Genomic DNA, 22193 nt, shown 5'->3' with positions numbered 1-22193 from the left:
TTTTCCACTTCTCTGTGTAATCTTAATAAGTATATTAAGTATATGCTTAATATGCATTATACAGTTTAGCTCTGTGTCCCCACCCAAATCTCACCTTGAATTGGAATTCCCTCATAATCCCCATGTGTCAAGGGCGGGACCAGGTGGAGGTACGTGAGTCATGGAGCCGGTTTCTCCCATGCTGTTCTTGTGATAATGAGTGAATCTCACAAGATCTGATGGTTTTATATGCGTCTGGCGTTTCTCCCGCTTGCGCTCATTCTCTCTCCTGCCGCCCGGTGAAGAGGTAACTTCCACCGTGGTTGCAAGGTTCCTGAGGCCTCCCCAGCAGAGCTGTGAATCAATTAAACCTCTTTTCTTTATAAATTATCCAGCCTCAGGTATATCTTCACAGCAGCATGAGAATGGACTAATACAGTAATATATTAATAAGTATATTGCTTTGTTTTAGTTGCTTTTAACCTTACAAAATTTGTTATCATTCTCCATGTAACCTTTTGGGACTCTCATTATTTCTCTTAATTTTTTCTTAATAGGATTTATTCATATTTTTGCATGGAGCTATGGTTCATTCACTTAATCTGCTGAATAATTCTGTGCATGTGCTTTAATTTACTTATGTATTTCCCTGTCAACAACTATTTATTATTGTGAATAGTGATACTATGAACATTCTATTGCAGTATATGTCTTTAGGTATGTAGATTCAAGAGTTTGAGGTGGAGGCGTACAAGCTAGGAGTAGAATTTTGGGGTCATATAGTACATGAATGTTAAATTTTACAAGACAATATCAAGCTGTTTTCCAAACTGGCTATGACAGTTTATATTCCTACTAGAAAGGCCTATGGAATACTGTTGTGCTACAAAGATAATTTCCAAGTTTAAAAATAACTATTCACTATTCACAGTCTTTCAGTGTGTTTTGATAAAGTATCATTATTTTATGTAGTCACACTCGTCAATCTTTTTCTCTTATAGATAGTTCTGGTTTTGCCTAATTGAATAAATCCATCTCTATTTCAAGATTATAAATAAATTTATTTTTTATTAAATGTTTTAAAATTTTGCTCTTGAAATTTATGTCTGATCCATCTAGGTGAATAGCTTACAAACACCTTGCAAAACTCTTTTATTTAATCCTCACAATGGTATATGTCACAAGTATCATTACTTTCATTGTGCAGATGACAAAGCGAAGATTCAGAAATGGCAAGAAACTTGTGAAAGTGTGCATACCTGGTAACTAGTAAATCCTATCTGGAAATTCTGATGGGTTGTGAAGTCTTTCTTTCTCTAATATCTGCCTCTGCCCTTCATACTATAGGGAGGGTGCTCCTCCAGTGCAGAAGTGACATCTCTATGTTTACAACATAGGAGTTATCAAAAAAATAGTTTATATCTCTCCAAGAGCTCATCTTTTCTATGATCCCAGGGTATTTGTAAGCTTTAGCCAGCAGACAACTTATTAAAGAAACATATGCAATATTTTTGTGCTGATGTTAATTTTGTTCCCATGGTTGTTGGTGTCTTTCCCAAACAGGGACATGTGAGACACCACAACAGAGAGGAACTATGCCCTTGTTACTATAGACCTATCTTTAAAATGTTTACAACTCCAAGCTGCGTAGGCCTATGCTTACTAGTTTTTAGTTCCTACAGCTACTTAAACTTTTGAGTTGAGTTTGTTATATGCTCTTGGCCCATATCTTTCCTCCCATACATACCTTTGGCAACACTTTTCTATTGGGTGTCTGTTCTTGGCATTACCTTCCCAAAGGCATTACTTCTCATTTAATGCAATTACTTCAATTAATATGTCTAATGGGAGCAAAAGAGCTATTATCCCCTGCTTTACTTTCATGAGAGGTAAAACTTTGACGCAGATGAAGAGATAGAACAATTGTAGCGAGTATACTTGAAATTATACACATAACAGCATCTGATTTCCTCTCAGGCAAATAAATCACATATAAAAGCTTTCCCCAGAGAAAACAAATTTTTCTCTGGAAATAATTAATAATAGGCTTAGAGATCTATGTCAATCAAATGAGAGTTGTCTTTTTCTGAATACAGATTTCTAGTATTGCATTCTTATTTAAGTAGATGCATTTTTGCATGATGAACAACTATGAGGCCACTTTAATTGTCCCTCAATATAGAGTTAAAGCTTTCTTTTTTCTTTTTAGCAACAGAGGAAATTAAGAACTTATTTGAGAACACTGTTCCACAACATTAGGCTATCCACAGTATTCACTTTAAAAATTCTATTTCTATTCTATTGTATTTCTTCTATTTTATTTCTTTTATTCTGATTCTATTTCTAGCAGAGTTTCAGTCTGATGGTATTCTCAGTTTTTCACTTTGCCTCTGCAGCACAGTTTCTGAGCTGTCCTTATACTCAGGAGTACCATCCCTGAAGGATTACTCAGTGTTTTCATTCTTCTCACAGCTTTATCTCAGGCTATTTGACTGGTTCAACATATTGGAGGGTGTATGAATGGTGAATGACAGTGCCACAGAATCCATAGGGTATTTAAACATGATTGACAAACTTGCTATACATTTGCCTTTGGAAAACGGCCACAAATGGGTTCTTTATTAAAATGTTAGAATCAACATTACAATTTCCATGCATCTATAAAGTTAACATATATTTTGCAAGTGCTTTTGCACAAACAACTCCATAAAATGCACTTAAGGGTAGGATTAAATTTATATATTACAAGCTAAGGATACGTGCATAGTGTTTTCTATTCCTCCTTCTTTCTTTTCACCCTCATTATAAAGTTTTATTTTTCTAAAAGTCTACTCAAATGTATCACACTTGCCATAATAAAATGAAGAAAAAAACCAAAGTTCTTTTAAGGTTATCTAACTGAAATATTCACTTCCGTGGACAAATGCTCCAGTATTCTGCTATTTCTTTACTACCAAGCATTATAGGATGGAACGATCACAATCACTAGAAAAAAAAGACCTGGAAAATTATCAACTTTCTTTCATGAATACCTTAAATGATATCATATTATGTAAAAATATTAATTTCCATTATTATTTTGTTCTAAAAATTGACGTAGCTCAAATTTATAAGAAGCTTTTACTAACAGCTCTTGATAGTACTGTTGAGAATATATTTCAATTGTTAAACAGGAGATTCAGCCTGGTCTGCAAGTAAAATATAAAATGATAAATATCTAGAAATGTTAAGTGAAAATTTGTTTCCAGCCTGCTTCCTCTCTCCCTATCTTCCTCCTCCCCTCTGCCCTGCAAAATAAAAGAAAAACAGGACCTAACACTTAAATTACTTGGGCAATTGTTTTAATTTTAGTATATATTATAATATGATGTAAAAATGAAAATGAAAATTTAGTCAATATTGTAAACAGTGATAATTGGGTTTTATATCGTTTACATTCAGGCTGTTGGTGTTATGCAAACCAAAACCATATCTATAGATAGAAAAATACAATGCACTAATGAGAAAGTACAATTTATTACATTTTCATTTGTTTTCAGAAATGATGAAGCAAAATCCACCTGGTCCATACCACAAATGGTATATAAAATGAATCAACCATTGAAAGGCTGATTTTAGAAAATTGCCATTTTTATTTTTCAAGATTCAGTAGCAGAATCTTATTTACAATTTTCTCAAAATAAGATTTGTAAATCTATATTTGTTAGGAGTCAAGCCAATGTGAGAAGATTTCAAATCCAACGTTACTTATAAACAGATATTTAATATGTTTTCCATTGTCTTCATTAGACAGCATCTGAAAATAATTTATTTATTTTTATTTAGAACCCAAAGACTTCAAGGAAATATTTTAATGTATTTGACTCTATGCTAATATACATATAAACTTCAGAACTTACATGTATAGGTACCTATAATAAAAAAGCAGTGTAATAAATTGTTGTCATAGGTGTAAACATTCATTTTATCTGCTGTTCCTTTATAGTTAGATGCTATACCTATATTCTAATCTCTTTGTGGTATCTATTTACTTATATACTTTGTGTGTGCATAAATCTGAATATTACTGAAGTCAAAATGAGGTATACATATGCTACATAAGATAACTCTAAAATAAAACTAAATTCCTTAAGCACTTCAGCAAAGAATACAGCAATATGTGTTTAACTATCTAATAGAATATAGCCAGGAGATGATCAAATAACCTCCAAAAGCAAAAAGTAGAATTAGTATTCTGTGTTTTTATATTGAGATATCAAATTGTATACGGTGGCTGTAACTATCAATTCATAAAAGAAATAAGTTAATAACAATAACATACTGTTAAAAAATCATCTGCTTAGTGGTTCTTAAAGTATTGGTATTAATGGAGCCACAAATCCAGAATGTCAGGGCACATGCCAAGAATGTGCATATAAGTATGCAAAGTTTAATATAACTCATCAGTTTATGTAATTGATCACCAGTGATATTTAAATCAACCCAAACATTTCAATCTTGAGAAAAAAATTATTTTCCATTTATTGGCTTTCTACAGGAGGAAAACTCGGTTGAGGTTTTGGCAATTGAGCAGATGTTACTAGAAAGGAAAAAAAAAAAGAGTACTGAAGGATGCTCACTAATTGAGCTAAATCCTATAAATGAAGCCCAGAACTTCATATTTCCTTTGACTTTCGTGAGTCTTTAAATAATTATAATGAATTTGTAAGTTCTAGCCAGCCTTGGTGCTTATGCATCATTAAAATCAAACTTCTAGTTCTGCCAGTGTATTAACTTGTCTATATATTCACATAATTAGCACCTCATCATTTTGTGCTATTCTGGGACTGCCTGGCATCTTCCAGCCTCACATCCAATATTGTGAAAAGCAGTTACTACCAGCTCATAAAATTCTGCTGCCCTTCCACTTCTGCTATTTTCCCCGTATGAAAACTGGATTTTAATAAGATGAGGAGGAAGACTGGACAGATCAGTAAGTTTTCAAGATGTTATTTAAAATATGGGGAAACCCAGAAAATGGAATCGCTTTAGTCAGTCTGTCCAGATCCATCTTCTCTGGCCCTTGTATCACCTATTTAATTGCTGGAATTCTGATTTTGGCATCTCCCAATCTAGGGGCTCAGGGTTCCGTGCCCTAAGCCAAACACTATCACTCGGGATGCGCTGCTGCAGGAAGAGATTATTCCTGCTTGACTGCGATTTATGTTGATATTTAAATTTTTTTGGTCTTATTATTTATTTATTTATTTATTTATTTATTTATTTATTTATTTTCTTTTTTGGTACTGGCTTCTTTGATCAACCTAACGGCCCTGGTGACCGGACCCCCACTGCTATTGTTGTGAAGTTATCGTTCTACTCTGCTAAAGAATGCACTTTTTGAGAAGTTTCTCCGCGTGGTCAACTAATTTTTAGGCTATTCCTTGTTTGCACATGAGGAAACATAGTTAGAAATGTTTAGGTTTCCTTTTTTTGTTCTGTTTTGTCTTGGAGGGTGGTTGGGTTGAAAGGTGAAGCCCACAGGGCAGCCTCCCGCCTTTCGGTCTCGGCCAAAGTTTCTGCTGGTCAAGTTTGCTGCTTGATGAGCGAGAGGAGCCCCTGGACGTTGCTGATTGACCTGCCTCTCACAGTAGCTCTTCGGCAGGTCAGCTAGCGACATTTGCTACTGGACTCTTGCGGGGGTGGGGGTGGGGGTTCGCTCCTGAGCCAAAATCGCCGCGGCCTCAGGCAGAGCCGGCAGCTGCTGGAGAGGAACTCGGTGGCTAAGGCTGCGGAGCAGTGGGCGTCGGGCACCGAGCGGCGCGCACTGGGTGTCAGGTAAGAGACGATCCCTGGTGATCTGGGAGGCACAGGGGGGTGTTGAGCACAGCACAGCTTCCCGAGTGCGCGGTCCCCGCGGAGCGCCCTGGGCGCGCGGGTACAGCAGGACGGCTCTTCTGCCCCGGTCCACGCGCCGACCCGCTGTTTTCATATGTTGTAGGAAGGCTGAGAAACTCCAGGCTCTTCTCAGAGCCAAGACAGGCTTGGAGGGAAGTAGCCTGCCTGCCTTGGGACGCACCTGTTGCCGGAGAACGATCCCCGCCTCCGCGGCGCAGCCCGCCCCAGCCGCGAGGGCGCGGGGTGTGGCCCGAGAGAGCGCAGCCCGAGCCACCGCAGCAGGGTCGCTCGCTCCGGCTCCTCGCCGGTCTGAGCCCTCCGAAAGGGGTCTCGGCCAGGGCCAAGGTCATGGTGCGTCTCCGGCTGAGCCTCTGTAGGCTGCTGCAGCCTTGGCCAGGCGGCGACTCCTTTACTCTCTCCTTCCGTACAAGTCTGGGGTGGGCGTTGGTAGTCAGCCCTCAGAAAGAAATCCGTGTGCCTGCCCTCCTGAGCTCCGGGCCTGCTCCTTCTCGGGTTCAGGGCTCAATCCGAGGAACTGAGCTGCGGTGGCGGGGGTCGAAAAGAGACTCCACGAAGCAAGACGTGCGGGGCGACTCAGCCTTTTGGGCCCCGGCGAGTATTAACCCATTTTACGGTAAGCAAAGTTGTGGCACCTTTACTCACTCCCCTCGTCTAGTTGTCAAGCCCCGCAACGGATGGGAAGTGGGGGAACTAGCTTCTAAAAGTACTTACTGGAAGGAGGCCCTGAACCTTGGACCACCCACACTCACGCATTACGGACCTTCGAAAAAGCAGAGGGTGACCGAGGAGCGGAGGGCGCGCCACGTCCCGGCCTCGGAGCCAGGGAGTCCCGGCCTGGTCCCCGCAGATCTCCCATTTCAGGCACCTCTGTTACTGGAGCTGAAAACCCTTAGGGAAGAAGGAAGGGAATGTCCTGGTCTGTTCGGGCAAAGGCCCAGTCGCCCCTTCCCGGCCCATCGCAGCCCCCTCGGAACCGGCTGCGGCAGGCGTCAGCCCCCTCTCGGCTGAAAGGCTGTGCTGAAGGAGAGTGGCTTCTGGTTTGGACTCCCAGAACCCTGGCCCCGGACTTCCAGCCCCGCAAGCTTGTATTTCGAGGGCTGCTCTACCCTCCTTCCCTCCCCTCCCCCCGCCCACGGCTTGCCACCTTCGTTACTAATTTGGGGGAGATTTTAAAACTTTATTTTACATTGTCCACTGGGAAAATCAAGACTTTTTTTAAAGGGTAAAATATCTTGTAGCAACATGATTTTTCCACTCCTTCATTTGCAACCCTTCTGCTCTGACCAGACAATTCTACTTCCCCAAATCAAAACTCAGGTGCAGCGTTTTCAGTCTGGGTGTGGGAAGGACAGACGCCGCCGACGACCTAGGGTCAGGGAGGTGGCTCAGGAGGACGGCGGGGGCCAGACCTGTGCACCGTCCGCAGGGCGGGGAAGCTGCTCTTCGTCCAGTCCAGTGCTCGCTCCCAATGCCCTCCCCCGTCCGCCTCTCTCTCCTCACCCCATTTGATCAGCAGGGGAGTCGCAGAGGGTTGTCGTTAGGACTAGCCACTAGCTTCCTCCCATCACCTGGGACTGCACAAGTTCTGGAGCACTTCCCCCCTCCCCTCCTTTTTTAAATAACCAGGAAGACTTAGTGTATGTCACTATCTTATTGGCGAGTCTGGTGAATTAAGAAACATTCTTTATGCTTGGTATTAGGAATGCTTTTGGACATTAGTCTTTCCACATCCAATCTAACCTCTTGAATTAAGAAACTTTCCTTCCACCGAGATGAAGGTGGTAGAAGAGGCTCCTGTCCAATCTGCAAGAGCACTAACTTCCTGGCCTTGACGAAGGGCTGTTGGCCATTTTTCCCCCATTACAGAAAAACAAAATTCGGTGTAGCAAAAGCATCCATGCCAATGTTGCGTTTGCCCATCCTTCTGGTATTGGCCAGAGCTGCCTTCGCAGCGTGACTGTCAGTGGGGCACAGCCTCAGAGCGTGCAAACTCCGGACCTGGGCGCGCATCCCTCTCCCACTGACCGCTCGGTTTGAGTCAAGGGAAAGGGGGGCATCCTGTTCTTCGAAGTGACTCAGCGGCGCAAGAGGCCCCAAGTGCCCGAGGTTCCGCGATTGATTCGATTTCACACTTCCACCGAGACTCTCAGTCACTAGCTAGCGTTTGTTTCCCGTTCCACCAAGCCGGGAGAGGGGCGGTGTCCGGGTTCTTCTAGAGACCACTCCTGGGGCTCTCTCCCTTCCCGGGATTTCTGCCTTCCCGCCCCTCGTGCTGCTGAGCTAAAGTCTTGATCACAAAAACACAGCAAGGGGGAAGAAAGATCTACGCCCACCTCCGCACTCGCACCGAAGGCTCCAAACTCCGACCTCCTCTTTATTCCCAGAAACGACTCTGCGCTGAACCGCAGTGCCCGGGCACGCACAAGGGGCTTTCTAGGTCCTTTCGTTGTTTCCCTTCCCCCGTGCTTCTTTGCCCACGCACCCCACCCCCCCGCCCCACCACCCCGACATCAGATAGTTTATTATGAGCTTCTGATTTCCCTGTCCGACGCCGTACGGCGGCCCCAGCCTGGTGGACCCACCCGCGCAGGCCGGGGTGCCGCTGAGTTCCCGGAGCTCGGGGCACGTCAGCACAGCGGCCAGAGGAGGCCCGGCGGAGCTTCGGGCGCGGACCGTCCCACCGTTTTGCGCCAGCGCCAAGGTCCAGGAAGCCTGGAGTGGGAACAATCTCTCTGGAGCTCTCAGGAACCTAACAATCTCTCTCTCTGCCTCCTTGGCTCCTTTTCCTTCCCATCCTCCCAAGTTGCTTTTCTTGTGACATTAACATTTTTTTTTCGCAGTTTTTGGTCTAGGAAGTTAAAGAATTGTGCAAAACTGAAATTCTTTTAGAAATCCATGTTTTAAAACGAAAGAGAGGACACAGAAAATAAGAGACCTCTCCGCCACAATACTGCCAGGAGCAAAGCCATCACCGAACATGGACATCCCGTTGAAACCACACCAGAAGGGCCCAATAAACAAAATTGACAGAATGGAAGTGTTTAGGAAAAGAGATCTAATGAAAAAAAAATATTGAGACAGAGAAAGTCGGCATGCAGTCTTCCCACCACCCCCAGCCCCCGCTGGCAGCACCTTCCCTCCGACCGCACCTCTGTCCCTCAAACCTTTCCACTGAGACCTATTTTTGCCCATATTTCTCTAAACTTGGGAGCAGCCAGGAAAGAAAGGAGAGCGAATGTTTCAATTCCTCTCTCCAAACTCAGAGGAACCTCCACCAACCGCCTGGCCACCTTCTCTTGCCTTCCTTCCGTTCCTGATGTGTGATTTGGTTAGAGAAATTGGGAAGGGGGGTGGGGTGGAAGAAAGTTAAAAAAAAAATCAGGAAGGCGTAAGCTGGAGCGGTGAGTGTGTCAATCAGAGGGTTTTGTGCCTGGGGGCTCCTAGCGGTTCGGAGCAGAGGTGTCCCAGGGCGGCCCCACAATGAATATGAATAGGAATCCTTGCTAAATGGGACAGCAAAGCGCACCGCCCTGAATGATGGCACGTCATCCTAACCAGCCCAGGATAGATAGGAGGGCTCCTTTTGTCTCTTTTCTCCGCCGCAGCTCTATAAAAGCCCCTCTTTTTCAGCGTGAGGTTAGTTCAAGCACACACCAACTAGCTGTCCAGGAAGCAGCCTAACCAGAGAGAGGGGCGTGGGAGGGAGAGAGGCGGGGAAAAGCAGCGTCTCCGCTTTTCTTCTCACGTCTTGCCGCGGAGAAGTGGGTTCCTGGGCAGTGCAGATTTTTTTTTTTTAATTCAAGATTTTCTTTAATTTCCCGCCTAAAGCCTCCCCACGGTAGGGCCGCATCCCCTGTAATAAAATGAATTCTGATTCGAGCTCTGTCTCCAGCAGAGCTTCATCTCCGGACATGGATGAGATGTACCTGAGGGACCACCACCACCGCCACCACCACCACCAGGAGAGCCGTCTCAACTCGGTCTCGTCCACGCAGGGCGATATGATGCAGAAGATGCCCGGGGAAAGCCTCTCGCGGGCTGGCGCCAAGGCCGCGGGAGAGAGCAGCAAGTACAAAATCAAGAAGCAGCTGTCGGAGCAGGACCTACAGCAGTTGAGGCTGAAGATCAACGGACGCGAACGCAAGCGGATGCACGACCTGAACCTAGCCATGGACGGGCTGCGCGAAGTCATGCCCTACGCGCATGGGCCGTCGGTGCGCAAGCTCTCCAAGATCGCCACACTCCTGCTCGCCAGAAACTACATCCTCATGCTCACCAGCTCCCTGGAGGAGATGAAGAGGCTGGTTGGCGAGATCTATGGGGGCCACCACTCGGCCTTTCACTGCGGGACCGTGGGCCACTCGGCCGGCCACCCCGCGCACGCGGCCAACTCCGTGCACCCGGTGCACCCCATCTTGGGCGGCGCGCTCTCATCTGGCAACGCCTCGTCACCGCTGTCCGCCGCCTCACTTCCCGCCATCGGCACCATCCGGCCTCCCCACTCGCTACTCAAGGCGCCCTCCACGCCGCCCGCGCTGCAGCTGGGCAGCGGCTTCCAGCACTGGGCTGGTCTGCCCTGCCCCTGCACCATCTGCCAGATGCCGCCGCCGCCGCACCTGTCCGCTCTCTCCACAGCCAACATGGCCCGGCTGTCGGCCGAGTCCAAGGACTTGCTCAAGTGAGCAGCGGGCGGGCCCGGCTGCCAAGGAGGAGGGAGAGCGGCGGGAGGGGCCGCGGTGCCGGGCCGGGAGGGAAGAGGGAGGCTGCACGCTCGGCCCACGGGAGGGCAGGCTCCGGGGCCCGCAGCCTCCCACGCTGTCTGAGAGATCTCAGACTCCACTTGACCCCCGGAGGGAAAGGACCAAAATCAAACCGCAATTTCTAGGTGGTAGCAAAGGGGGACTCGAACCAGATGTCGTGTGTTTTGCATGCATGCTTCTTTTCCCCATGCCGCGCCAGTATTTTTCACTGCCATATGCTCTTGTCAAAACTGCATTTGTTGTATAAAGATGGGATCGGTGTAGTTAAAAACTTGCGAAGGGACTTTTGAGTTGGCTTTCTCTGACTCTGTGTTCTCGCTTTGGAAAAAGACGGCCATCCCTTTTGTGCAAAACAAATGTAAATATTTTCTTGAGATGGATGCGATTATGATTGTCTCTGTCCTTGCCACAGTTTTTCTAGAGACAATGGAGAGAGAAAGAGAGAGAGAGCGCGAGAGAGATCAAGACCCAAGTTTTGAATCTCAACCGAGGTCCAGGGCATGACACCTCCTATGTGGGTTTTCCTTTCGACGCAGTGTAGGTCAAAAGAATGCATGCACGCTTCTAAATGAATCTTGTCTGAATATGTCGTGCAGGCTGTGGTGCCGTTTTCCTTGTAACAAGGATTTATTAGTGAATTATCCCAAGTACTCCATATATCTGTCTGTGGTTGTATGAAATGAAAAAAGGGGCAGAGTGCAAAGACCCACACTCACGCACACGCGCTTCTTCTCCCACCCCCACCCCCTTCAAACTTTATTCGGAACCTTCCTTTGCTGTTCTGGGGCCGCTATTGTAAAAGCCTGGGCTCCCTCTAGTAGCTTGCGCCACCCCCCCTCGCTCAGTTATTCTGCATGCGGGGTTGGCTCTCTCTATTATCAGCTTTGAAAACTTATCCTGGTTTTGGGAGGGGTGCCGTTTTTATTTTCCTGAACATTTGCTTGAAATATTTTGTTAGGGCCTCAAAGACGATACCTGTCTTTATTTTTTATATATTCTTGATAACTATGATATATTTATTAATAACCAGTGTTTCTGGATGAGATTTCAAATAAAAAAGAACCTTTAAATCGTGGCTTTGCCTTTGCCTAAAATCTTAGCAGATGGGGGTAGTGGGATAGGAAACACGTGGACCAGGTAAGGTGTATCTGGGTGAGGAATTTGGATGGGTGGGCAGATGTGAAGGTTTTCCGTGATTACGTACAAGTAAACAGGATGGGTAAATTGGTGCTGATTTTTGGAACTAAATGTCCTTCAAGCGGGCATTGCCCACATTCATAGTATTATGCTATTTGAGCTCATTTCTCTGCAGTAATCAGACCCTCATAAACTCGAGAATTGAATTTTAAAAAGTAATCTGGAAACTTAAAGTGGCAGGAAATGAGAGGTGGAGTGTCACTACGATGACTGTGTTGGCAACAAACAAGGATGAAGCAGTACGTTAACTTCTTTTCACTTTAAATTGAACTTGTGCTTTTCCCCCCATGTTAAAATCTAGTATACATTTTAAAAGTCAACAAAGAGTGGTCTTAGAAAATAGTCAAATACTCACCCTGCTTGCCTGCACCCTCGGAAGCATGGCCTACAGAGAAAGGGAAGGCTTCTCTGCTTTGTAAGGTGAGCTCCGGGTGAGTCAAACCACCACCCAAGTCTCAGAATCTTGCAGATTTATAGCGAGAATCCTCCCTTCTTTCTTCCCTTAGAAGATTGCTGGTCTGATTAGCTATATACATTGGGCATCTTCTACAAAAAAGTCAGCTAAAACGGGAGTCATTTTAATAAACTACTTTTCTCTTTTCACCTCCCGCCATAACACTTCTAAATGGTTTGTCTAAGCAGGAGTAATCCAGCAAGACAGTTTTGTCTATTTGTTTAAAGGGGACAATAAATCGAGCTGTAGTGAGGATAGCCCCAACAACACAAGCCTCCATTTCCCTCTGAAGAAAATAGAACCCTGATTGAAATGCAACACCCCAGGATTTGCTTCTGAATAAGTTGTAACATCACCTAGATGTTGGTTGAGGCCAAAGCTCCTCTCCAATGGGGGGAGGCTTGTGGTCTCTTTCTAGAATCCAGCAAGGAGAGCACGTCTAGGAAGCATTTGCGTTTGCCCTGTCTTTCCTGGGTCCCTGATGCCTACCCAGTACTGCCTCTGTCAGGCAGAGCATCTCTGTGGGTTTCTCTTCTATGCAAATCATCCCCCTCCATCCCTTTTTACCCTCCCATCGCTACCCCACTCTCAGCCAGGCGAAAGACCTAAGTTAGCATCTACAGTGGAGGGTACTTGTTTCCACTGGTTTTAGGCAGACAAATGGGGGAATAATCGTCTGTTTCCCAGGGGTGATTCATTTCTCTGGGTGAGGAAAGAGCCTATTGAAGATTTATTTGAAACCAACACAAGGCAGCCCTCCAGTCTTTCCCCAGAGTTTATTATTTAGAAAGGGGAGGGGTGGGAGAAGTTTCATCAATCAGGAAAACGACTTTCTCCTTAGCCACTTGCTTCTTTTGAGTCCTGTTTCCAAAGGCCTGGTTCTGGGGAAAGACTCAGTGCCTTACAGTTGGCCTAGTGGTGGGCCTCATGCCTTCTCTAAAACTGAGTCTTAAATTGGGTTATGCAAAGGAATAAAGCCACATTCTTTACACTAGGACAGTCGTGGATTTTGTGATTGTGCTGCTGAGACAGGAAATCCTTGATTTACAGCAGTGGTCAGTTTAAAGAGCTGTGATGTCCACTCACATAAGCTGAAAGGAAGCTTGAGCACAGGGAACTCTATTGCAAATTTTGCAACTAAAATGGGAAATAGACACCACTTCCAATATCGAGAAGATCTCTTAAGTGAGCAGAGCTCTTTTCTGGGATACAAAAATTCTTTTGGCTTCGAGACCAGAAGAGAGGATTTCTTTAAGTACAGGACAGGAACCCAGTGAGGAAGGTGATTTGAGAGCCACGTCATCTGAGGTTTCTGGATTTATTGGGAAGAAATAATCTCCATTCGCTCTCCGGGAAGGCCCTTCCCTTGATGCCTAGGCGGGTCTGCTGGGCATGTGAGTTTGCAGGCAGACTTTTACTGTCATTGCACTTCCCTTTAAATACTCGAATTATCGACGCCAGAAAAAAGATTTCATGACCGCAAAGGTGAAAATGGGTTTCGGCCGGGATTTTTTTTCGTTGTAAACTTGTCACTTTCTCGAAATTTTGCAAGTTTAGTTTTTCATTCAATCTGGAAACACCACGACGATCCTTTCATTCCAGATTAAACCCCGCCTTACGTTTAAATGGATGGCGAAATCCTCCTGGGCGGAGACACCTTGAGAAGCCCACACTAGAAACCTCTCGGCGCTTTCCCAGGCGATGACCTAATTTAGAGGGCGGAAGAAAGTGACCCTTAGAAAGGGAAAATGAGGCCGGCGTCGGCTGGGCTCACTAGATCTTTGTTTCTGGGACCGCTGAGGCCGACAGCCCGCAAACGGGCAGGGAGAAGCGGCCCGAGCTGGCCAAGCCCAGGGTTTCCTCGCTCCAGCAGCAGGGGGCCTTGTGTCCCCTCGAACTTCTTTTTTTCCCAGCTGCTAGGTCAAGCAAGGTTTTGTGCCTCCACTGACGCATTCAGCAGAAATTGCAAAAGCCTCCTCACTCTGGGAGGACGCTGGAACCCCCTCTGCCCCACCAGCACATCGCTCAGACACCAACATTTAACTTCGCGTTCCACGTCCCTTCCAGAGACTCCGGGGCCCTCTGTTCCCCTTTTCTCACCCTCCACTGGGGAGGAGGAGTGACTGCTAAGGGTGGGCTCCCAAGTCTCCGCACCCAGGCTAGATATCTTAAGGCCACCCCAGGTCCACCCCTCCCTGCACCGCTCCAGGCCGAAGCCGAGAAAGGGGAGCTGTGAAGAGAAGACAGCGGGGCCAGGTGTCCTCCCGGCCGTGCAGGATCTGGGCCTGTCCTCCCGAGTGCAGCCCCGCTGGGTCCAAGCTCTTCACGTGTAGGCAGGAATCGAGTGGAGGAGCCGCCGCTCGAGGGCTGGGAAGTGTCTTTGGACAGAACTAGGCCAAGGGAGGGGCCGTGCGGGAGGGAGGTGGCCTGCATCTTCAGCTCGCCTCTAGGAAAACTTGCGGGAGAGTGAGTGCCCTTCCCTCCCCGTCCCTGCAGAGAGTTGGGGCCTCTCCTGTACCCAGTGCCCGTTTAAGGGGCCCACAGAAATCAAACTCCGAAAGCTCGGGCCTGCAGAGTCAGTTTTCCGTCGAGCGTCTGTTTTCAGTGAAGCCTTCCCTGGGACACTGCGGGGCGGGAGAGGATGGGGTGCGTTGGACGACGAAGGAGCCCGCCAGCAGCCGCAGTCCGCGCTCGCGGTGGCCCCGGAGCCCCTGTGAGCGATCCCCGCCGAGCGGCGCGGGTGCGCGACCTCTCCCGCCCTCTTCCTGTATCCAGGGCGGAGAGCTGGGAGCCGGAAGCCCAAACTCCAGCTCCGCGACGGGCTAGGGGGTCCCCGGGTTGCGGATGGGTCAAGTGGCAAGCATGAGTCTCTACGCCCTGACCCCGGACTGTCTCGGGGTCCCCGCAGGACACAGTCAGACAGGCTGGCGCGCAGAAAACAAAAGGATGCGTGGGAGGCAGAGTCCAACGAGGCCCATCATCACCTGCGCCAACACCTGCAAAGTGCCTCGAAATACTAAGCGTTTATGGAAACTGGGAGGAAAAACAAAAACGGTAACAACAAACAAATTCAAAGTCGGGCTGAGCGCGGCAGGTGCTCTTTCCTCCCCGGTCCCAGCGCCCTCACGCGCAGCCCTGGGCTGACACTCTCAAGAATTTGTCAACTTTGCTAAGGAGAGGCCCGGTTAGGGTGGCGCAGGGGGCCCGGGGGCGGCGCCTTCCCCAGCTGCGTCTCTTCGCTGGGGACCTCACAGAGGACCCCGGGGCCTCGCTCTCCCTGGCCGACCCGGATCACAGCCCCTGGAAGAGAGCCGTTGCTTCTAACCCAAGCCCCTGGACTGCCCGTGGCTCCCGAACGAAAGTACGGACGTTTGTCCTCGCAGCCAGGCACCGGCAAAAGGAATTTAACTCGCCTCGGTTAAATTGCAGCCCCCATTGCAGGCCATCGTGCCTGGCACCCTGGGACGCCCAGGGTAGTGGGTCCCTCTGGGGATGGGTACTGGACCTGCTGGGGCCAAGACCCCAGGGAGCCAGGAGGGAGGGATGCGCAGACCTGGGAGTTCAACGACGGGCCTTGATTTTACTGTTGCGTCCTGGGGTTCGGGTAGAAGCAGAGTGGTCGGGTTTCTCGCACCGCAGGAGGACAGGGGCAAAGAGGGGGCAGCGCCTAAGGGTCTGTGAGGCAGTGTTGGATAGCTGTCCTCGTAAGTTTTGGAGTTCTGTCCGGCCCTGACTTGAGTAAGACCCCTCTTTTCCTCGTGGTCTGCAACAGACACCTCCGAAAGTGCAGGAGCCAGGGCCTGATTCTGGGGGTTGCCACAGTTTACACGCAAGCACCCCTCACCTCCACGCCTGGAAAATTGCGGAAGCCGGGTACTGAGGCCCCCCTCCCCAGCTGCGGGGCTGTGGTGCCAAGAACGCACTTTTGCCACAAGCAAGATCCTCAATTCCACTGGGGGACATGGAGGGTGGCGCGGGTGCATTTTATGGCGACTCCTTTCTCCTCCTGGTTATTCAGCCTCCCACCATCTCGCCTCCCTTCCGTCTACTCCGGGAAAGGACAAGGAAATCCACACCATCATTTGAAACCAAATGTAAACATATAGCGTTCTAGTGGACTCCTAGCAACACAAGCCTTGGCATTACTTCTTTTGGAGTTTCTCTCAATCTTCCCCCAATTCAGCAACGAACATTTTCTGAATGCTTCCGATGTGCCAGGTGCTAGGAGCGACAACAGAGGGGAAAAAAAAAAGTAAAACAGTAAGAGAAATAAGGCATTCACATGCATAAGAAATAGCTCCTGTCCTCTGTGCCCTCAGAGCCTAGAGGGAAAACATCGGTTACCTAAGTCACCTAAGTCCTAGGGTAAAAATTCTACTGGCCGCACAAAACACAAGTGCTGTAAACACGTCCTTCCAGGCGCTTTTTCAGATGCTAGAAAACTCACTGCCCATTCCCTCTACTGGAAAGGACAGGAGCAGATGCTTTTGATTAATATGGAAATAAAAAGAAGCAATGGTGGCAGTACTTGGTTTCGTGGCAGTTGTTTAGAGATTTATTGACACAGAGATAAATTTCAGTCTGGGGCATCTCTGTATTTCATGTCCCTATTAGTTATTAGCAAATGAGCAAATCGTTTTTCTTTTAACTGTTTTTTTAAAGAAAAAAAATAAAAGAAGAGGAGTTGGGGGAGATATTTTTTTAATGGGATTACTGTCATTATCCTCCTTGTCTCTGTAGTTCCCCCAGCTACAGAAATTTGCCTCTGGACTCCAGAGTACACCAGGCTGTGGTTCTGAACATAAAACAATCCTGTAATTTCCTTCAAGAACAAAAGTTTTCAAAGAAATGACCTGCACAGTATCCCCTTCAATAAAGCAGAAGTGACTTAATGGTCTGTTAATTACTCCATCCCTGCAGGGGGAGGGAAGCTTCCGAATGGATCGCTACAAACCCTCTGTTGACTGAAGCTGTGGTCTGTCCCCAAATGTACAGCTGGGGCCGGGCCATTGAAAACCCAGACAAAACAAAATCCCTGATAAATAATCCCACCTAGAACACAAAGATTCAGCACTCAATTGTTGGATCTGCGCTGGATCCTCAGAGAAGACCGGAGGGAGCTCCTTTGGGGCTTCCGGTAATCTTTAAAGCTTGAGGCCAGGGGTTCTTGGACAAAAGTTAAAAAAAGAGCTTGTTTGACTTCTCTGTCCCCTTATCCTTCTGTGTTGAATTTCTTTCTCTTTAATTTGGGGCTTTGACTATATTTTATTTATCCAATCTTCTTTTGTATTAATTAGTTTGTTCCATCACGTAATAAATTTTTGGTTTGGTTATTTCTCCAGTTGTTTCTCTATTAATAATTTAAATCTAAGAAGACAGGATTTGAGTGTCATAAGAAAGACAAAGAAGAGAATAAAAATATAGGAGGCAGGTTTGGGTTGTTAGTCTCTGTGTCTTTTCACACCTGTAAGGTGAAAACTGCATGATGTAATTAAATATATTTCTAAAATAGAACAGTTAATCAGATATACTGGAGCCCAAGCAAACTAGCAGTCATTCAGTTAACTTTGCATCAGAGATGGTTAATTGGAAAAATTGAATTTTCAAAGCATCTCTTTAAGAAAAAAATATAAACATGTCCTACACTAATTAAAAAGATAATAGTTTCAATTTGGTATCAGTTTGGTCATTGTGGGTCCATTTAAATAAAACATTGCAGAAAGGTGAAATCTAGCATCTATAGAGATGAGTATTATGAAGGTGATCAAGATGTGGATATTAACTGTTTTAGAAATTAGTTGTTTGCTTGAACTAGGCAATGGCAGGAAGAGTCTATGGAGCCACACAGTTTGCCAAGTCCACTATTACTTCTTAAGGAAGTGATGCTGAAGGGTCAGGCACTGGTTAAAGCCATCCTTTGCCTTTCGTGCCACAGTTGACTGGACCAGATAGTGGTATACGAGCTAGTCAATATAAGGTAAACACATGAGGGAGGCCGGCTCATAGGCAATTGGCATTAAATGGTGCTTCATGTAGAACGGTGGCACTTTTCTCACTGGGAAAATATAAAAATCTAGTGAATCAAAAGGGACTCACCATTTAAACTAAGTTTGACCATAGTCAATGCTGGACTCTTGTTCTGGTTTTCTGTATAGCTAACTGTTCATTCCAGTCATGCGAAAAATGGGATCCAGACAGATGGACAGACATTGTGACCTGTGTAACGCAAAGAGTTGCCCCTTTTGATACTAAAGGCAAATCTATGCAATGATGTTCTCAAAATCTGACTTCCCTACAGTGCTGTAGAGACACAAACATGAAAAATTAGAAGCCATTCCCTCTTGCTAAATAGTCCATGGGGAAATAGAAGAAAGGGAAGCAATTTGTTTCCCATTTTTACTAAATTATATTATTAATAAGTCAGAGTGAATTAAGTACAGTTTTAGAAATTCTACTGTCTGACCAGGTAGAGGTGGGTTAGTTTCTTCCTCTCTCCTTTGCAGAGACTAATGTGCAACGTCTCTTCCCAAAGAGCATTTTGATATAGACATTTTTTTTTTTCATTTTTTACCCTTAGGTACTTGGTTCTCCAGCATTTTCTTCATCCTGTGGAGTGTTTGCCAGGCTCTTAATTGAAACATGTGATCTCTTCAGGGCCAGAGAGTATATTAACTTGACTAGTAACTTTTCTTTTTTTTTTTTTTTCAATTTTTATTTTAGTTTCGGGTGGTACGTGTGCACCTTTGTCGCATGGGTGAATTGCGTGTTGCTGAGGTTTGGTGTACGAATGATCTTGTCACCCAGGTAGCGAGCATAGTACTCAAAAGGTAGCTTTTCAGCCCTCGCCCCACTCCCACCCTCCCCTCACTGGTAGTCCCCAGTGTTTGATGTTCCCATCTTTATTTGACTAGTAACTTTTCATCATTATTGCTATCAGCAGGTTTTTAAGTAGAAAATACTAAGAAACATTTAGTGTATTTTTCACAGTAAATACTAGATCTCAACACAAGAAATTACATTAAAAATGGAGAGACCTAATATTTTTTAGAAATAATTTTATTTAAACCTCAGCCAGGTTTCATACTAATTTGGCCCTGAAGTGGCTGATGCTGACAGTGCTGGAATACCTGGAGGAAGGGGTAGAAGAGATCAGCAGGACAGTGCTAAATTTTCTAAATTTTGGTTCCTATGAACTCTCACTGCAGAGAACCTAGACTTCATCTGAGGGAACATTGAGAGGTGAGATGTTTTTCTTATAATTATTTACTTGACCATTATAGATTCTTTTCTTTTTCTAGAATTAACTTCCTTTGAAATTTTATATAAAGGTTGCTCATCTAAAATACATACCATTATGGTATGCAAGGATGTTCTACTTTGTTGACTCTAGAATATTCAATGAAACATTCCATGTTTCCCTATACTTTAGGCTTGAAAGAAAGAGGTCAGAAGTAAGCAATGGCAAGGCAGAATCTGCAGGGCAGGGATGAAAAGGATTAAGTGGGGCAGGTAAGGCAAGGAACGTGGTGGCCACTTTTTAAAAATGGAAAACATTTCTGGTGGTAACTTGGCATCAAGAATTACTCTTATTGGTTTATTCTTCACTTATATAGGCTTTAGGTCATTACAATAGTACTTAGAAAAAGGACCATGCCTACGTACTTCCAAGAGATAAAAGATTTATGGGAGATTCCCTTTTTCTCCTTGTTCTTCCTCCTCAGTTTTCCTTTCTTCCTCTATTCCTCTATCTTGCTTCTCAATTATCTAGTCATCTTTTTGCTATCTTCTCTACCTCTCTGCTTCCAGCCTTTATTTTCATTCCATGTGATCACGCCCCTCTATTTGCCCACTTCCACTGGCTACTTCATTGCTTTAGGGAAACATAGGGTTTACATTCTCCTGGCCTTCTTGCAAAGTCCTTGCACACACAATCTGCCTGCTCTTCCAACTAGTTTTGGTTTCTAGGAAGCCCCCAACCCTCTTTTCATATCTTCATTTCCAGCCTGTATTGTTACAAAAAAATGAGCTATGCAGAAGTGTGTTCCAGAACCAAAGCCATTCAGAGGTGCTTTAGCTTTCAAAAGCAGCATTGTCATAAGAGTGCTTTCCTAGGTGATAGGGGTATTATGGTAGAGGCTATTTATGCTTTACCAGCTTGTGTCGACTTAAGGAATGTATTTATATAGATAATCACAGCAAACACAAAGTGCTTAGTATGTGCCAGTCATGGTTTTAAACCCTTGACACATATTAGCTCATTTAATTCTCACTGCAAGCCTGTGAAGTTGGTATCATTATTCTCATTTTTTCAGATAAAGAAACTGAGGCACAGAAAGTTAAGTAACTTCCCCAGGCCACACATTTGGTATGACTTAGACCAGTGGTTATCATGTTCTCTGGCCCAACAGCATCAACATCATCTGAGACCTTGTTAGAAATACAGATTCTGAGATTTTACCTTACTTGCAGGTTCAAAAGACGACTGCTGTGGTTTCACAGATGCTGGCAGAAGACATGAGACTCCTGGGTCAGAAACAAAGGACTTGATTTCTCATGGCACAGAAAGTATCATGAGCTTCATGTTTACACTCCTCTTGCTCCTTAATTCCCAGGAAGGCAGTACAGAGGGAGATGCTGCACATGCAGTGGATTGAGTTGCATCTGAGAAAGCTTGAGCTTAGAAAACCCCAAGCTTTTATAATGGGCTTCCAACAAATCTGCCCAACATTTGCTTTGGAATGAGACATTATCTTTAGTATCCCATGTAGCAAACAAACATGCCTTCTACCCCAGAGGGAGACACTGTCTCCATCTTCTAAGGCTATTTCCTATACAAGCACCTATGAGTAGACAGTCCAGAATGAAATTTGTCAGTGTCTCTGATCACAATATTCACAGAAATGCAAGAGACCTTTGGAGGGTTGTCTCCTGACAGAGGGCTGAGATAAGTGCGTTCATCTCAGTGTTTGGCACCCTGTCATCATCATTTAGGACAAGGCCACTCTCTAGTCCCATTGCCCTCTCCCCCAGACATGCTTCAAATATGTTTAATATATATCCATGAATGTGTATGAAATGTAGGAATCTTTATAAAATAAGCAGTGTTGTTTTGTGTGTGTATCTATTTTTAATTTATACATGAGTTGTGGTATAGCCCTTCATCTGTTTAATACTTTTTTTTTCCACTCAGCGTTATGTTTTAAGATCCATCCACTTTGCCTTTCGTTAATCTTGTCCCTAACTCTTGACTTCTGCAGAATGCTTCATACTGTGTTTCCATCACATTTCATTTACTTTTTCCCTAAGGATGAAACTTACCTTCCCTCTAGCATCCTGTAATGATAACACTGCAATGAACATCTATATATATATGTCTCCTCTTGTATCTGCCCAAGTTGCTCATCTTTCTATCAGGTCACCCATCTTTTTCTGTTGTTTTTTTTTTTTTTCAAGAGTTTATTGTATAGTTCATATATTGAAAGTTTTAGATGTAACAACTGTCTTCTCCCAGCCTAATATCTGTACACCAATTTTCCCAACTACTGACTACTGCACAATATGTCATTTCCCTATTAATTTGTGATGGCATCTTTATCCTATATCAAGTTCCTGTATTCATGGGTCATTTCTGAACTCTCTATTCTGTATCACTGGTATATTAATCTATTTCTATGCCACTATCAGTATATTGTTATTGCTATGCCTTAGTATTATATCTTAATATCTGGTAAAGTGGGTCTAAGGAGGATACATTTTTACTTTTTAAAAATATGATCATATTTGTCTTCTAATTGAATACATTCTAAGTTAACTAGAATAATTTTTTTGAATTGCATACTAATATTATTACAAGATTTTCTTTTTCTTCTCTTTTTTTTGAGACGGAGTCTTGCTCTGTCGCCCAG

At 45.2% G+C, this 22193-nt stretch overlaps 1 protein-coding gene across 1 annotated transcript, besides 4 other annotated features; it reads left to right on the top strand.

The window, feature by feature from the left end:
* Positions 7360-7892: an enhancer, noted in NCBI's record as "H3K4me1 hESC enhancer chr6:137817156-137817688 (GRCh37/hg19 assembly coordinates)". NCBI's record gives its function as "activates a minimal SCP1, AML or CMV promoter by ChIP-STARR-seq in naive H9 embryonic stem cells {active_cell/tissue: H9 hESC(naive)}" and the evidence as "EXISTENCE:reporter gene assay evidence [ECO:0000049][PMID:30033119]".
* Positions 7893-8426: an enhancer, noted in NCBI's record as "H3K4me1 hESC enhancer chr6:137816622-137817155 (GRCh37/hg19 assembly coordinates)". NCBI's record gives its function as "activates a minimal SCP1, AML or CMV promoter by ChIP-STARR-seq in naive H9 embryonic stem cells {active_cell/tissue: H9 hESC(naive)}" and the evidence as "EXISTENCE:reporter gene assay evidence [ECO:0000049][PMID:30033119]".
* OLIG3 (oligodendrocyte transcription factor 3) lies at positions 9517-11712 on the top strand. The gene has a single exon (NM_175747.2). It carries the CDS (start codon positions 9741-9743, stop codon positions 10557-10559), a length of 819 nt encoding a protein of 272 aa, NP_786923.1. The 5' UTR covers positions 9517-9740; the 3' UTR covers positions 10560-11712.
* Positions 10108-10607: an enhancer, noted in NCBI's record as "H3K27ac-H3K4me1 hESC enhancer chr6:137814441-137814940 (GRCh37/hg19 assembly coordinates)". NCBI's record gives its function as "activates a minimal SCP1, AML or CMV promoter by ChIP-STARR-seq in naive H9 embryonic stem cells {active_cell/tissue: H9 hESC(naive)}" and the evidence as "EXISTENCE:reporter gene assay evidence [ECO:0000049][PMID:30033119]".
* Positions 15850-16525: an enhancer, noted in NCBI's record as "H3K4me1 hESC enhancer chr6:137808523-137809198 (GRCh37/hg19 assembly coordinates)". NCBI's record gives its function as "activates a minimal SCP1, AML or CMV promoter by ChIP-STARR-seq in naive H9 embryonic stem cells {active_cell/tissue: H9 hESC(naive)}" and the evidence as "EXISTENCE:reporter gene assay evidence [ECO:0000049][PMID:30033119]".

This window comes from Homo sapiens, chromosome 6, assembly GCF_000001405.40.
Source record: "Homo sapiens chromosome 6, GRCh38.p14 Primary Assembly".
Lineage (NCBI taxonomy): Eukaryota > Metazoa > Chordata > Mammalia > Primates > Hominidae > Homo > Homo sapiens.
Note: the sequence above shows the minus strand (reverse complement) of the source record. Positions and strands in the feature narration are given on the sequence as shown.

Bases quoted from the DNA above. Each gene is read 5' to 3' on its own strand.
- OLIG3 (NM_175747.2), top strand. From the start codon at position 9,741: ATGAATTCTGATTCGAGCTCTGTCTCCAGCAGAGCTTCATCTCCGGAC.